Source organism: Homo sapiens, chromosome 7 (assembly GCF_000001405.40).
Source record: "Homo sapiens chromosome 7, GRCh38.p14 Primary Assembly".
Lineage (NCBI taxonomy): Eukaryota > Metazoa > Chordata > Mammalia > Primates > Hominidae > Homo > Homo sapiens.
This window is the reverse complement of record NC_000007.14, coordinates 72014814-72027261: the sequence shown is the minus strand read 5'-3', so window position 1 is coordinate 72027261 and position 12448 is coordinate 72014814. Positions and strand designations below refer to the sequence as shown.

The 12448-nt window shown below is 44.5% G+C and overlaps 1 protein-coding gene across 15 annotated transcripts in view; it reads left to right on the top strand.

Annotated features, from left to right (window-relative positions):
- CALN1 (calneuron 1) overlaps positions 1 to 12448 on the top strand; it is a 724789-nt gene that overhangs the window by 477018 nt on the left and 235323 nt on the right. For all 15 annotated transcript variants that reach the window (XM_017012677.2, NM_001363460.1, XM_017012683.2 and 12 more), the window contains one exon: positions 3493 to 3605. In XM_017012677.2, the coding sequence (XP_016868166.1) occupies positions 3493 to 3605 (113 nt within the window). The remainder of the gene's footprint in view (positions 1 to 3492; positions 3606 to 12448) is intronic.

The window sequence follows — 12448 nt, the reverse complement described above, 5'->3', positions numbered from 1 at the left end:
TAGTCCAGTGCTTCTTAACCTTCCTCTTCTTTTTTTAAATAAGCACCTCCCAAGAACCTTTTCAGATATGCATTTTTCTAGTTGTCCCACCCTCTTGAAATTTTGTACAGATACACTGTGTATTATGTACTGTAGCCCTAGAAGAGCCGCAAGCCATTGTAATATCTAACATTGGCTAATGTTATTTTGTTCCCTAAGAAGCCATTTTCACCCCATTGTGGGTGATACTGTCACTCTTGAGAATGTATAGTTTAGTTCAAGACTGTTTGGCCATCCAGCCCCACCTGTGACTAGTGGAGGTGATTTGGGGTGAGCAGAGAGTTACTGCACAAATGTAACAAGCATGTCTATCCAAGACGTGGAGCCACGTGGAGTTAGCTTTCAGAGGTGTCAAATTCTAGGTAGACTGGGCCATTCTCCTTTCCCTCTAGCTTTCTACTTTTCACTTTTACAAATACCAGTTGAGTATCTATCTGTAGGCAAATATCTTGTTCTATATTCAAGATAAATGTTGTTTTATTTTTTCTCTAAAAATGAAGTTATTAAGGTCAGGTATGGTGGCTCATGCCTGTAATCCCAGCACTTTGGGAGGCTGAGGAAGGAGGATCACTTGAGCCCAGGAGATCAAGACCAGCCTGGGCAACATAGCAAGACCCCCTCTCTATTTTTTTTTTCCCCAGACAGAGTCTTGCTCTGTCGCCCAGGCTGGAGTGCAGTGGTCTTACCTTGGCTCACTGCAACCTCTGCCTCCTGGGTTCAGCGATTCTCCTGCCTCAGCCTCCCGAATCGCTGGGATTACAGGCACCTGCCACCAGACCCAGCTAATTATTGTATTTTTTGTAGAGATGGGGTTTCACCATGTTGGCCAGACTGGTCTCGAACTCCTGACCTCAGGTGATCCACCTGCCTCGGCCTCCCAAAGTGTTGGGATTACAGGTGTGAGCCACCTCACCCAACCCCCCTCTATTTTGTTAAGTGCATTGTTAGATCCAAAGGAAACAGCACTTTACAGGATCTTGATTGGTACTTCCTGTCTATATCTGGGACAAGTACACCAGGAATGCATTATAGAGGTGATCTCTCTGTATTTCTGGCAGCATCGACTAGTGTGCTTTTGGAAGTATTTGATAATTTTGAAGGCAAGATGGTAACTCGTTGCTTGAATTAGCTTTCTTACGATTACCAGCAAGAGTGAAATTTTAGACTTATCTTGTTGGATGATAAGATAAATCAATTTCTTCTCCAGAGGCCACCGACTGCCCCTCTTCATTTGGTGGTTAAATCCTCCCTTTCCCATTGACTTGCCACGCCTCCCTAATCCTTTAGGAAATTTTACCTCTGCTGGGATCTGTTCCTGGACAATCTGTTCCTGGACAATCTGTTCTGAATTATTGGCATCTTGATGCTCACATCTGCTTGGCATTGTGAAATAGGTTTTGAATGAATATTCTTTGAAGGTGAATGCACTCTGAGAGGGCATTGATTTATGTGTGGGCATTTGGACAAACTCTTGTGTGCAGACACCTGGCTGTCTGTGCTGGCTGCAGCCAAGGTAGGGATGTGGTGAACTTTTGATGGAGTTGCCCTTTTGAGCAGTTCAGAGGGTGCAGAATGCTACACTGATGACTCCTGGAGGACCCAACAATGCCTTGAAGGTTCGCTCTTGTCTGTTGAGTTGGCTCAAGTCCACCTTCTGATTACTGTCAGCTCTAGCATGAAAGATCCAGCAGATGCTGAATTGAACAAAGAAAGAACGAGCAAGAGACATCATTCATTCATTGTACAAGTACATACTGAATGCCTGCTTTGGTGTTCAATATACAAAGATGTTTCAGACCAAGTCCTTGACCTTGCAGAACTGACAATCTTTTGCTTGTGAGATAGGCATGCAAATCAGTGACTGGGATATAAGGTTTTATTTTATTTTATTGTTTTATTATTATTATTTTTTTAGATGGAGTCTTGCTCTTATTGCCCAGGCTGGAGTGCAGCAGTGCGATCTTGGCTCACTGCAACCTCCGCCTCCCAGATTCAAGCGATTCTCCTGCCTCAGCCTCCCAAGTAGCTGGGATTACAGGCATGGACAACCACACCCAGCTAATTTTGTACTTTTAGTAGAGACAGGGTTTCACCATGTTGGTCAGGCTGGTCAAGAACTCCTGACCTCAGGTCATCCACCCACCTCGGCCTTCCAAAGTGCTGGGATTACAGGCATGAGCCACCGCACCTGGCCAGGATACATGGTTTTAAATTCTACAGTAGGTACACATGGAGTTAGTAGGAGAGAGAGAAAAAAAGTTCGACCAGTTCTGCCTAATGAGATCAGGAACAAAACAAAAAGAGAACATGACATTTCAGCTCCGTCTTAGAGAAAGAGAATTCACCAGATAGACAAGTGAGGGAAGGCATCCCGGACAGAGGGATAGGCATACACATGCACGCAGAGGTGTAAAGGAGCTTGTATTTTATGCAAAGGTTGGGGACAAATTGATGCAAAAGAGATAGTGAGGCTTGAACACTATGCTGAGGTGGTATCCCTATTTTCAGTCAAAGGTGCTGTTCAGGCCGGGCATGGTGGCTCACTCCTGTAATCCCAGCACTTTGAGAGGCCAAGGCAGGCGGATCACTTGAGGTCAGGAGTTTGAGGCCAGCCTGGGCAACATGGTGAAACCCTGTCTCTACTAAAAATACAAAAATTAGCCAGGCTTGGTGGCTTGCTCCTGTAATCCCAGCTACTCTGGAGGCTGAGGCATGAGAATCACTTGAACCCAGGAGGCAGAGGTTGCAGTGAGCCGAGATCACGCCATTGCACTCCAGCCTGGGCAACAGAGCAAGACACCATCTCAAAAACAACAAAAAAAGTGCTGTTCAAATATAGAAAGCATGATGAGATTTGGTCTTGGGGAATTAAACTCAGAACTGCATAGAAGAGACTGCGAAGGTAAGAGTGTAAAAGCCGTGCTACTCATAACAGAATCGTAGCTAGGAACATTAATTCTTAGAAGGATTTTCTCACCTTCATGGTTGAAAAGGGAACTAGCCATTGAGTAATGAGGAAGATACAGCAACCACAGATACTTAAGAGGTGAAATCAAGAAGGCTTGATGACTACATGTATATGTGGGTGACAAGGATGGTGGAAGAGATGGGGTGAAGCTGCCACTTCCATCATGTACAACTGGGCAATTCGGAGTAAAAGGAGAAGCAGGGGTGAGGTATAACCATGTTAAGTGGGAAGTGATGGTTGGACATTTAGCTAGAAATACTGTCAAATGTTTAGGAATATGTGGTTTTGGTTGTACTAATAATTGCCAGTTTCTTGTGGTACTTTCAGTCATTGAAGAACATTGAACAGTTTTAAGTAATGTTACCAGCTCTTCTTCATTGATTGAGGTCATGCCAAGAAGAAAAGCGTAGAGGTGTTTATTGCATCAGGTACGGTAGGTCAAGTTCAGCTTGTTTGCAACTCATATTTACATCTTCTCCTTGCAGGGGATGGCCAGGTGGATTTTGATGAATTCATGACCATTCTTGGCCCCAAACTGGTGTCTTCAGAAGGTCGCGATGGTTTTCTTGGGAACACGATAGACAGCATATTCTGGCAGGTGAGTAAGAATATTTTTTTTCAGACTAAGTTTGACAGTAAATGTGTCTGAGACTAACTTTTGACTGAATTCTTGAACTTCTATTTGGCACGTGAAGATCTCTTCTGGGCTGAGCGACATATGTTCCAGAACAAAGAATCAAAACAACTACTTTTTTAGGGTTTGGAGGAGTGAAATATCTCCCCATTTTTTTCTTGTAGCAATTTTTTTTTGCATTAGGGAAAAATGAAATTATTCTACTGCACATTCACAAAAGTCTTTTTCCTGGGGACACTTCAAAGGGGCACACTGATATTATCTGAACCGGTTCTGTGTTTGACCCCAGTTCCGGGATATCTTTGCTGAGAGAATGGCATGGTTGCCTGGTACATTTGGATCCCGTCAATATCCTTGCACTTAATGAGAGAGAATGGTTTTGTCTAAGAATGTGTATTCAGTGCTTCTCAATTAGCTCCTGTTTCTATCTTGTAAAATCTCTTAGGAAATTCCAAACATCTAACATTGTAATTATTAAAGTATAATGAAATCATTTTTATATTAGTTCTCTACTCTTAAAATGTGACAATTATTTTATGATTATAAAATTTAGGGAGTGGGTTATCAATCATTATTTTAAAAAATTTGAATCACGTAAGTTGTCTGTCAAATTAAATTAAATTACCAGTTAGACACGTAAAACGCCATTCAGACACAGCATGATTTTTCTTTTTTTTAAATTTCTTTTTTTTTTTTTTTTAATTTTATTTATTTTATTTTTTGTTTTTTCCCTTCACCAGGAGATTTCTCTAACCTAGATAAGGGTTGCAGTTGGTGTGTCTTTCTAGTCTTATTCAGGTACCCATCTTGCATAGAACCAACAAGTATTTAGTAAGAACTTACATATGCTATAATCTATCAGTGCTTGTGGGTTTTACAAAAGGCATTTAAGACTCAGACCTAGCTATTTCACAATTTGGCTGGGGAAGCTGAATTTGGTGGCTCATGCCTGTAGTTCCAGTGCTTTGGGAGGCCAAGACAGGAGGATCGCTTGAGGCCAGGAGTTCAAGACCAGTCTGGGTAACATAGCGAGATCCCGTCTCTGCAAACAATTTTTAAAATTAGCCAAATGTGATGGCGCATGCCTGTAGTCCCAGCTACTCTTGAGGCTGAGGGAGGAAGATCGCTTGAGCCCAGGAGTTCAAAGCTGCAGTGAGCTATGATCACACCACTGCACTCTAGCATGGGCAACAGAGCAAGACCCTGTCTCAAACAAACAAACAAAAATAATAATTTGGCTAGGGAAACACAATTAAGAGAGGGAAAACAAACAAGTGATTAATTAGTGTGATGGTCACTAGACTGTAACTCCTTGAAGCACAGGGCTTCAGAGTTGTAGCTCACTCTGTGCATGCTGTACACAGCAAGCCCTCAATAACTATTTGTTTCAATAGATGAATGGAAGGGCAAGAAAGGAGGAAAATACAGTCTTGAAGGGTCAGAAAAGAATTTAGGGAATGTGACACTTGCTTTGAACCTTGAAGTATGGGTGGAATTAAATGCAAAGAAAGAAAAGAGGGCATTTCAGTTCTGCCATGATGAGAGTTTGAAAAGGGGTTGGCATGGGGAAGTCATTGACCATGACTAAGATACCGTTTGAAGGGCAAGACCTCAAAACCCACTGGCAGAATGGATTTAGGGCCTGAAGAAACAGAAGAGGTGAGGCTGATTCCAGAGTTCCCAACTTGCTGTTATTGGCAGGGGTCAGATCATGGAGCAACAGAGAAGTCTTGTGGGGTTGAATCCTCAATTGGACATGCTGAGTAGAAGGTGAGGGTCAAGCAGCCAAGTAAAGGGAGGAAGTCTATGCACAGCTGAAATCAGTTGGGGCTGGAACACCGGATTGAGATTCATGAGAGCTGGTGGGTAAAATTATAGGCAAGGATGAGCTCACCGAGGGAAGGTGCATAAAAGAGGATGAGCAGAGAGATGGGACCTGGTCCCAGAGGACATCCAGGATCAGGGGAGAGTGAGACAGGGGCTCGTGAATCCCCCACTGCTGACAGGAAAACGCCATCTCCCTGAACTGTTGTTAGGATCCAGAACATCTCCAGGACCCTACTCACCATGCAAGGAGAATATTGCAGTGCTCATGGAACCTTCAGTTATGACTTGACACTTGCAAGGACCAATAGGTAGAGTCCCCTGGTGGAAATAAGAAATGACCCCAGAGTTCAGAAGATGAAGGAATATTGTTTCCCATCTGGCCATCTTTTGACCCATGGAGGTCCACTCTGATGATGGGCCTTGGCGAGTTGCTTCTCCCCTGGGCGTTTCTCCTTCTTCTTTCTCTCATTCTCCATCTATTCTCCTGAATGCCTTTTTGCTTGTTTTTTGTGTATTTTAGAGATAGGGTTTCATTCCGTCACCTAGGCTGGAGGGTAGTGATGCAACCATAGCTCACTGCAGCCTTGAACTCCTGGACTCAAGTGATCCTCCCACTTCAGCCTTCCAAGTGGCTGGGACCACAGGTGCAAGCCACCATACCCTGCTATATTTTTCTGTGTTTTTTGGTAGATATGGTGTCTTGCTATGTTGCCCAGGCTGGTCTCAAACTCCTAGCCTCAAGCAATCTTCCTGCCTTGGCCTCCTAAAGTGCTGAGTTTACAGGAGTGAGCCATGGCACCTGAGCCCCTGAATGCTTCCTACTCTTTACCTCCATCCTTAGGGCCAACTAAGGAGAATGTTCCAAGGCCTTGTGAGTTCTAAGCATTCTTCTTTCTGGCCCTCATCTGGATGAGAAGGAGCTATGGCTACTTAATCTACACTCCTACTCCTCCTGTCTTCCAGGTTCATCACAGTAGAGCGTGTACACTGCAAGGAAATATATCTCTTACAATATATGGACTGCCTGTAGCTTAATTCAGACATGCTATAATGCTCACAAAGTCTCCATGTTTTTGTCTTACTCAAGATTTTCTTCCCCACTCAGGGTGAAAAGATAGGCTGGAGAAAGGAGGGAAAATTCCATCTTGAAATATTTAAATCAATGCTGGAAGTCACAGACTTAGTGGCTGTGGCTTTCCTCTCCTGCTAGTGCTCACCCAGCTCAGAATTTTACGACTAGCAAGCAAGAACAAAAACATCCATCAATTCTCAGTAATCAGCCTCCCCTTCTTCCCCCTGCGACTGCCTGCCCCTTCAGAGACAGCGTGAAAAAATGGTACTTAAAACTTCTACAGCATTGGCTTGTTTCTGGAAAAGAGTTCAGGTTCCCAGTGCTTGGGTGGTTTTTCAGGTTTAGAAGAAAGCTGAGTGTGTGCATGTGTGTGTGTGCACATATATATACATGTGTGTTTCCTTCCTTGAAGTGATTGAAGATAATATACAAAAAAGAAGCAGAAAGGTTGCTTTCCCAACACAGTGAGAGCCTGTCTCTAAAGCAGATTGAAAAATTAGCTGGGCATGGTGTTATGCACCTGTAGTCCTAGCTGCTCTGGAGCTGAGGCAGGAGGATTGCTTGAGGCCAGGAGTTTGAGGCTGCAGTGAGCTGTGATTGTGCCACTGCACTCCATCCTGGCTGACAGACTGAGACCTGTCTCAAAAAATAAAACAAAAATAAAAAATAGGAAAAGTAGCTTTTCACCTCCAGATATCCAGGCAGAAGATATTGATCTTAGGAGGTACTGATATCCTTGAAAGAAGACCATCCTACTTAAGAGACTCTAGCAAGGCTTCCCATCAGTGACATAGTCAGTTTTCCGTGGAAACAGACCTGAGACTACTTCTAGAAGGGTATATATTTGTGGTCTTTGGCTGCATAATACATTACACCAAAATCTAGGGCCAGAAAACAACACTAAATATTTTCTATCTCACTTAGTTTCTGTGGGTTGGGAATTTGAAAGCTGGCTGAGCTGGGTGGTTCTAGCTCAGGGTCTCTAATCCAGTTGCAGCCAAGATGCTGGCTGGAGCTGTGACCAGCCTTGGGCTTGACTGGACTGGAAGATGTGCTTCCTGGTGGCTCACTCACCTGGCTGGCAAGGTGACGCTGGTGGTTGACGGGAGCCCTCAGGTCCCTACTGCACAGACCTTGCCACAATGCTGCTTGAGTGTCCTCCTGACATGGCAGCCAGTTTCCCTCAAAGCCAGTGATCCAGGACAGTGCTAGGCAAGAGCAATGATATCTTTTATGCCCTAGCTATCAAGTTGGACACAATCATTTCTGCAATATTCTCTTGGTTACACAGGTCATCCCTATTAAGTGTGGGAGAGAACAGCCTCCCGGTGAATGCCAGGAGGCAGGAGCCATTGTGGATCACTTTGGAGGCTAGCTACCATAAAGGGTAAAGATTCTGTAATTGGACTTCAACTTCTGATCTGACATTGCTGCCCCAAGCCTTCCATTTTCCCCAGGCTTGGGTTTCTTCCTACCTTAGAGGAAACCTATAACCAAGGCTATTCTCTGTATCACTGAGAAGCAATCCTATCAAGCACTAGGTGCCTTTTCCTAATAAAATCCTTCTTCCAGGCCAGACAGGGTGGCTTATGCCTATAATCCCAGCACTTAGGGAGGCCGAGGTGGGCGGATCAGTTGAGGCGGGGAGTTTGAGACCAGCCTGGCCAACATGGTGAAACCTCATCTCTACTGAAAAAAAAAAATACAAAAAAAAAAAATTAGCTGGATATGGTGGTAATCGCCTGTAATCCCAGCTACTCAGGAGGCTGAAGCATGAGAATCATCTGATTCTGGGAGGTGGAGGTTGCAGTGAGCTGAGATCGAGCCACTGCACTCCAGCCTGGGTGACAGAGCAAGACCCTGTCTCAAAAATAAATAAATAAATAAAATAATTTTTTTCCAGTGCTTTCCTTACTGGTGTTCTAGCCTATAGTGCCAAGGGTAGAATAAAATCAAATGGGATTCAGCAAAAACAGCTATTTATTGGTTGGTACTAGTCGCAAAAGTTATGAGCCCCTGGCTCTTTGCAGGAAATTGATTAACAGTGAAGGGGGAATATAGTTGGCTACAAATGCGGCTTCCTTTCCGGGGAGGATGGTCTGAGAGTCATGCCCCAGGGTCTCCAGTCCTCCCGGCATACGCTCAGCCCTCTGGGTGTGAGACTCTTGGCAGCCAGTTCAGAACCGCTTTCCTATGCATAAGTTGTAAAGCTGTGATTGTGTTCTTAGTCTTCGTTCATCAAGCTTCTGTGTGTTTTTTTGTTACTGCAGTGGTATATTTGCTGAGGAAATGTGAAACTGTGTATGGAGTCAGCCTTAGGATATGGTATATGGGAATGGCAGAGAGGAGAGGAGGGAAGGAAGGGACTGAGCGGGGCTGAGACTCAGGACTGGGGGGTAGGCTTCCTGCTCAATGCTGCAGGTTAATTGCACCTGCCAAGAAGTCAAGCACGGTCCTCAGGGTCCCTGCTTTTCCACCATTTATTTACGCCACACATCATGTGCCTACTTGTATCCAAGAATAAGAGGCTTATGATACAGTAGATGTCCCCAAGTGGCAGAGGAAAGAGCCCTGCTATTTTATCATGGTGTTTTCATGAATTTACCCCAGCAGCCTTTTTCATTTTCTTCTGCTTGACCTCAAGCCCCGTGCAACCGTGTTCTGCCATGAGTTTGCAGACAGCAAGCTATAGAGAGCATATGTGAAAGGATCATGGGAGATTAAACAGGTCTGCCAGTCCTGGGGGCCAGCCAACACTTCTGTTAACCTCTTTTCCCTCTGAAGAAACAGAGAAATGAGTCCCACACTTGGTGAGGAGAGCTGAGCTGTTTGTGTGTCTTACTTTTGCCACCGTGAGGTTCAAGAACACCTCGGCCAGAGTGACGCCGAAAACATCTCATGTAGAACTGGGTTCCTTTGCTCACATTTTTAATCTTATTCACAATCAAACCTTATTCATGAAGACTTCACTAATTTAGACTTTCTGTTTTAAGAAATGAAATATTCACAGTTTGTGAGCAAATAGATCTGCTCATTGGATGGTGCTGGTCGTGTTGGAATGAGTCCGGGGCTAAAGGTCGGGAGACAAGAAGCCCATAATAGCTCCCTGGTCTTTTTGCATGCTCAGGACTTTTGGGCAATACTCCCGAGCACACACGAAGTCCAGGGAGCCATTCTGCAAGCTGGTCTTTAGAATAGCTTGTTTATCCCACAGCTGTGTGCAATGTGCAAGACATTGTAAATTACCCTAGCCTGAAAGTGCATAGGGTACTCGTTCCCCAATTTGGTTGGGATGAAAGTCTGTTTGCCACGCTGACTTGCTTTGCCTCTCCCTGGTTATCAATCATAGGTCTGCTGCTGTCCAATCCTCACTCATCTGGTGGGAGAATATGCAGCAGGTGCAGTAAAATACCTGCATCTACTCCCCAGAAACCTTTCCGGAAAGGCTTTACCTTTTGTCTCTCCATCCCAGTTCTTGCTGTGGTCTCGTGTCTCCTGTGGCTTTCCATTTCTGCTTTGGTCCTGGACTCTTTTTTTTTTTTTTTTTTTTTAATTTTTGAGACAGAGTCTCTCTCTGTTGCCCAGGCAGGAGTGCAGTTACATCATCTCGGCTCACTGCAGCCTCCATCTCCCGGGTTCAAGTGATTCTCATGCTTCAGCCTCCCAAGTAGCTGGGACTACAGGTGTGTGCCACCATACCCAGCTTTTTTTTTTTTTTTTTTTGTATTTTTAGTAAACACGGGGTTTTGCCACCTTGGCCAGGCTGGTCTTGAGCTCCTGGCCTCAAGTGATCCACTCACCTTGGCCTCCCAAAGTGTTGGGATTACAGGCATGAGCCACCGTGCCCAGCCTGGTCTAGGAATCTTGATCTCTGTCTCAGGTCCTCATGCAAAACCTAGTTCTTCCCAGCCCAGGCCCAGGCTTTTGTCTGGGACATTTTATAAGCTGGTCCCACCGTGATGGCAGAGATGGGCAGGTGGTTTGGTTTTAAAATTACTGACTTTAGGCCTGGCACAGTGGCTCATACCTATAATCCCAGCACTTCAGGAGGCCAAAGCAGGAGTTTAAGAGCAGCCCAGGCAATGAGTGACACCCTTTCTTTACAAAAAATTCAAAAATTAGCGAGGCATGGTGGTACATACCTGTAGTTCCAGCTACTCGGGAGGCTGAGGCAGGAGGATTGCCTGAGCCCAGGAGGTTGAGGCTGCAGTGAGCTATAATCATGCCACTGCACTCTTGCCTGGTCAACAGAGGGAGATTCTGTCTCAAAAAATAATAATAATAATAATAAAATAAATAAAATTCTTGACCCATGGACAGTTGAGAGCATTTGCATTTCATGGTTGTGACATGTGAAGGAAATATTACATACAAAAAGCTATAATACAATGTGACTGCAAATCTGTTATGCATAAAAAGACTGGAAGGAAATATATTCAATCATTGACAGTGACTTTTTTTTTTTTTTTTTTTGAGATGGAGTCTCACTCCGTTGCCCAGGCTGGAGTGCAGGGGCGCAATCTCAGCTCACTGCAACCTCCACCTCCTGGGTTCAAGCAATTCTCCTGCCTCTGCCTCCCAAGTAGCTGGGATTACAGACGCCCACCACCATACCCAGCTAATTTTTGTGTTTTTGTTAGAGACGGGGTTTCACCGTGTTGGCCAGGCTGGTCTGGAACTCCTGACCTCAGGTGATGTGCCGGCCTCAGCCTCCCAAAGTTCTGGGATTACAGGTGTGAGCCACCGTGCCTGGCCTCTCTTCCATTCTTAATCATCTAATGGAACCTTAATAGTTTTCAGCAGTGATGTCTATATCAAGGCCTGCTAGACTGACAGCAAGCCTTCATTCCCCACAGGGATCTTACCAAGTGTGGAAAAATGGAATATGGGAAGCATTCATGTTAACAGTGGTTCTCAAAGTGTGGTTCCTGGACCAGCAGCATTAGTAATACCTGGAACTTGTTAGAAATGGGAATTCTGGCCCAGCAAGTGACTCACACCTATAATCCCAGCACTTTAGGAGGCAGAGGTGGGAGGCTCTCTTGAGCACAGGGGTTCAAGACCAGTATGGGCAACATAGCAAAACCCCATCTCTAGAAATAATAATTTAAAAAATTAGCCTGGCGTGGTGGCACATGCCTGTAGTCCCAGTTATTCTGGAGGCTGAGGTGAGGACATTGTCGGAATCCAGGCAGTTGAGGCTGCAGTGAGCCATGATTGCACCACCTCACTCCAGCCTGGGCGACAAGAGTGAGAGCCTGTCTCAAAAAGAGAAAAAAAAAAAAAAAGAAAGAAAGAAATGCAAACTCCTGGGCCCCACCTATTAAATTGAATATTCAATACTGACCTGTTGAATCAGAAACTCCAGGCCTATGGCCCAGCAATCTGTTTCTATTAGCCCTCTGGGTGACGTCAACGCTGGCTTGAGTTTGAGATCCACTTAGTTACAGGATTTTAATGAGCCTGACATTTGGGACAAGGCAGCGAGTTAGTTTTACTGATCTGGTTCTGACCCTTGCTTCCTTCCAGGCTTGGTAATTTGGGTTTTTCTTTTAGTTATCCTTATTCATAAGTGTAATTGATCTTTAGTCTATTTAACACTATAATTTTAAACTGTTTTGAAAAGGTGGAGAAATTACCTATCAATATGTAGCTAATTTCTAAGTAGGAAATAATTTTCTAAGCATTGGAGGCAATGGAACAATCAAATAATACTAACTTATACTATTAGATTATAAGAATATTTAAAAAGCTAACAAAGGCTGGACGCAGTGTCTCACGCCTGTAATCCCAGCACTTTGGGAGGCTGAGGCGGAGGATCGCTTCAGCCCAGGAGTTTGAGACCAGCCTGGGTAACAAAGCAAGATCCTGACTCTACAAACAAATACAAAAATTAGCCAGACATGGT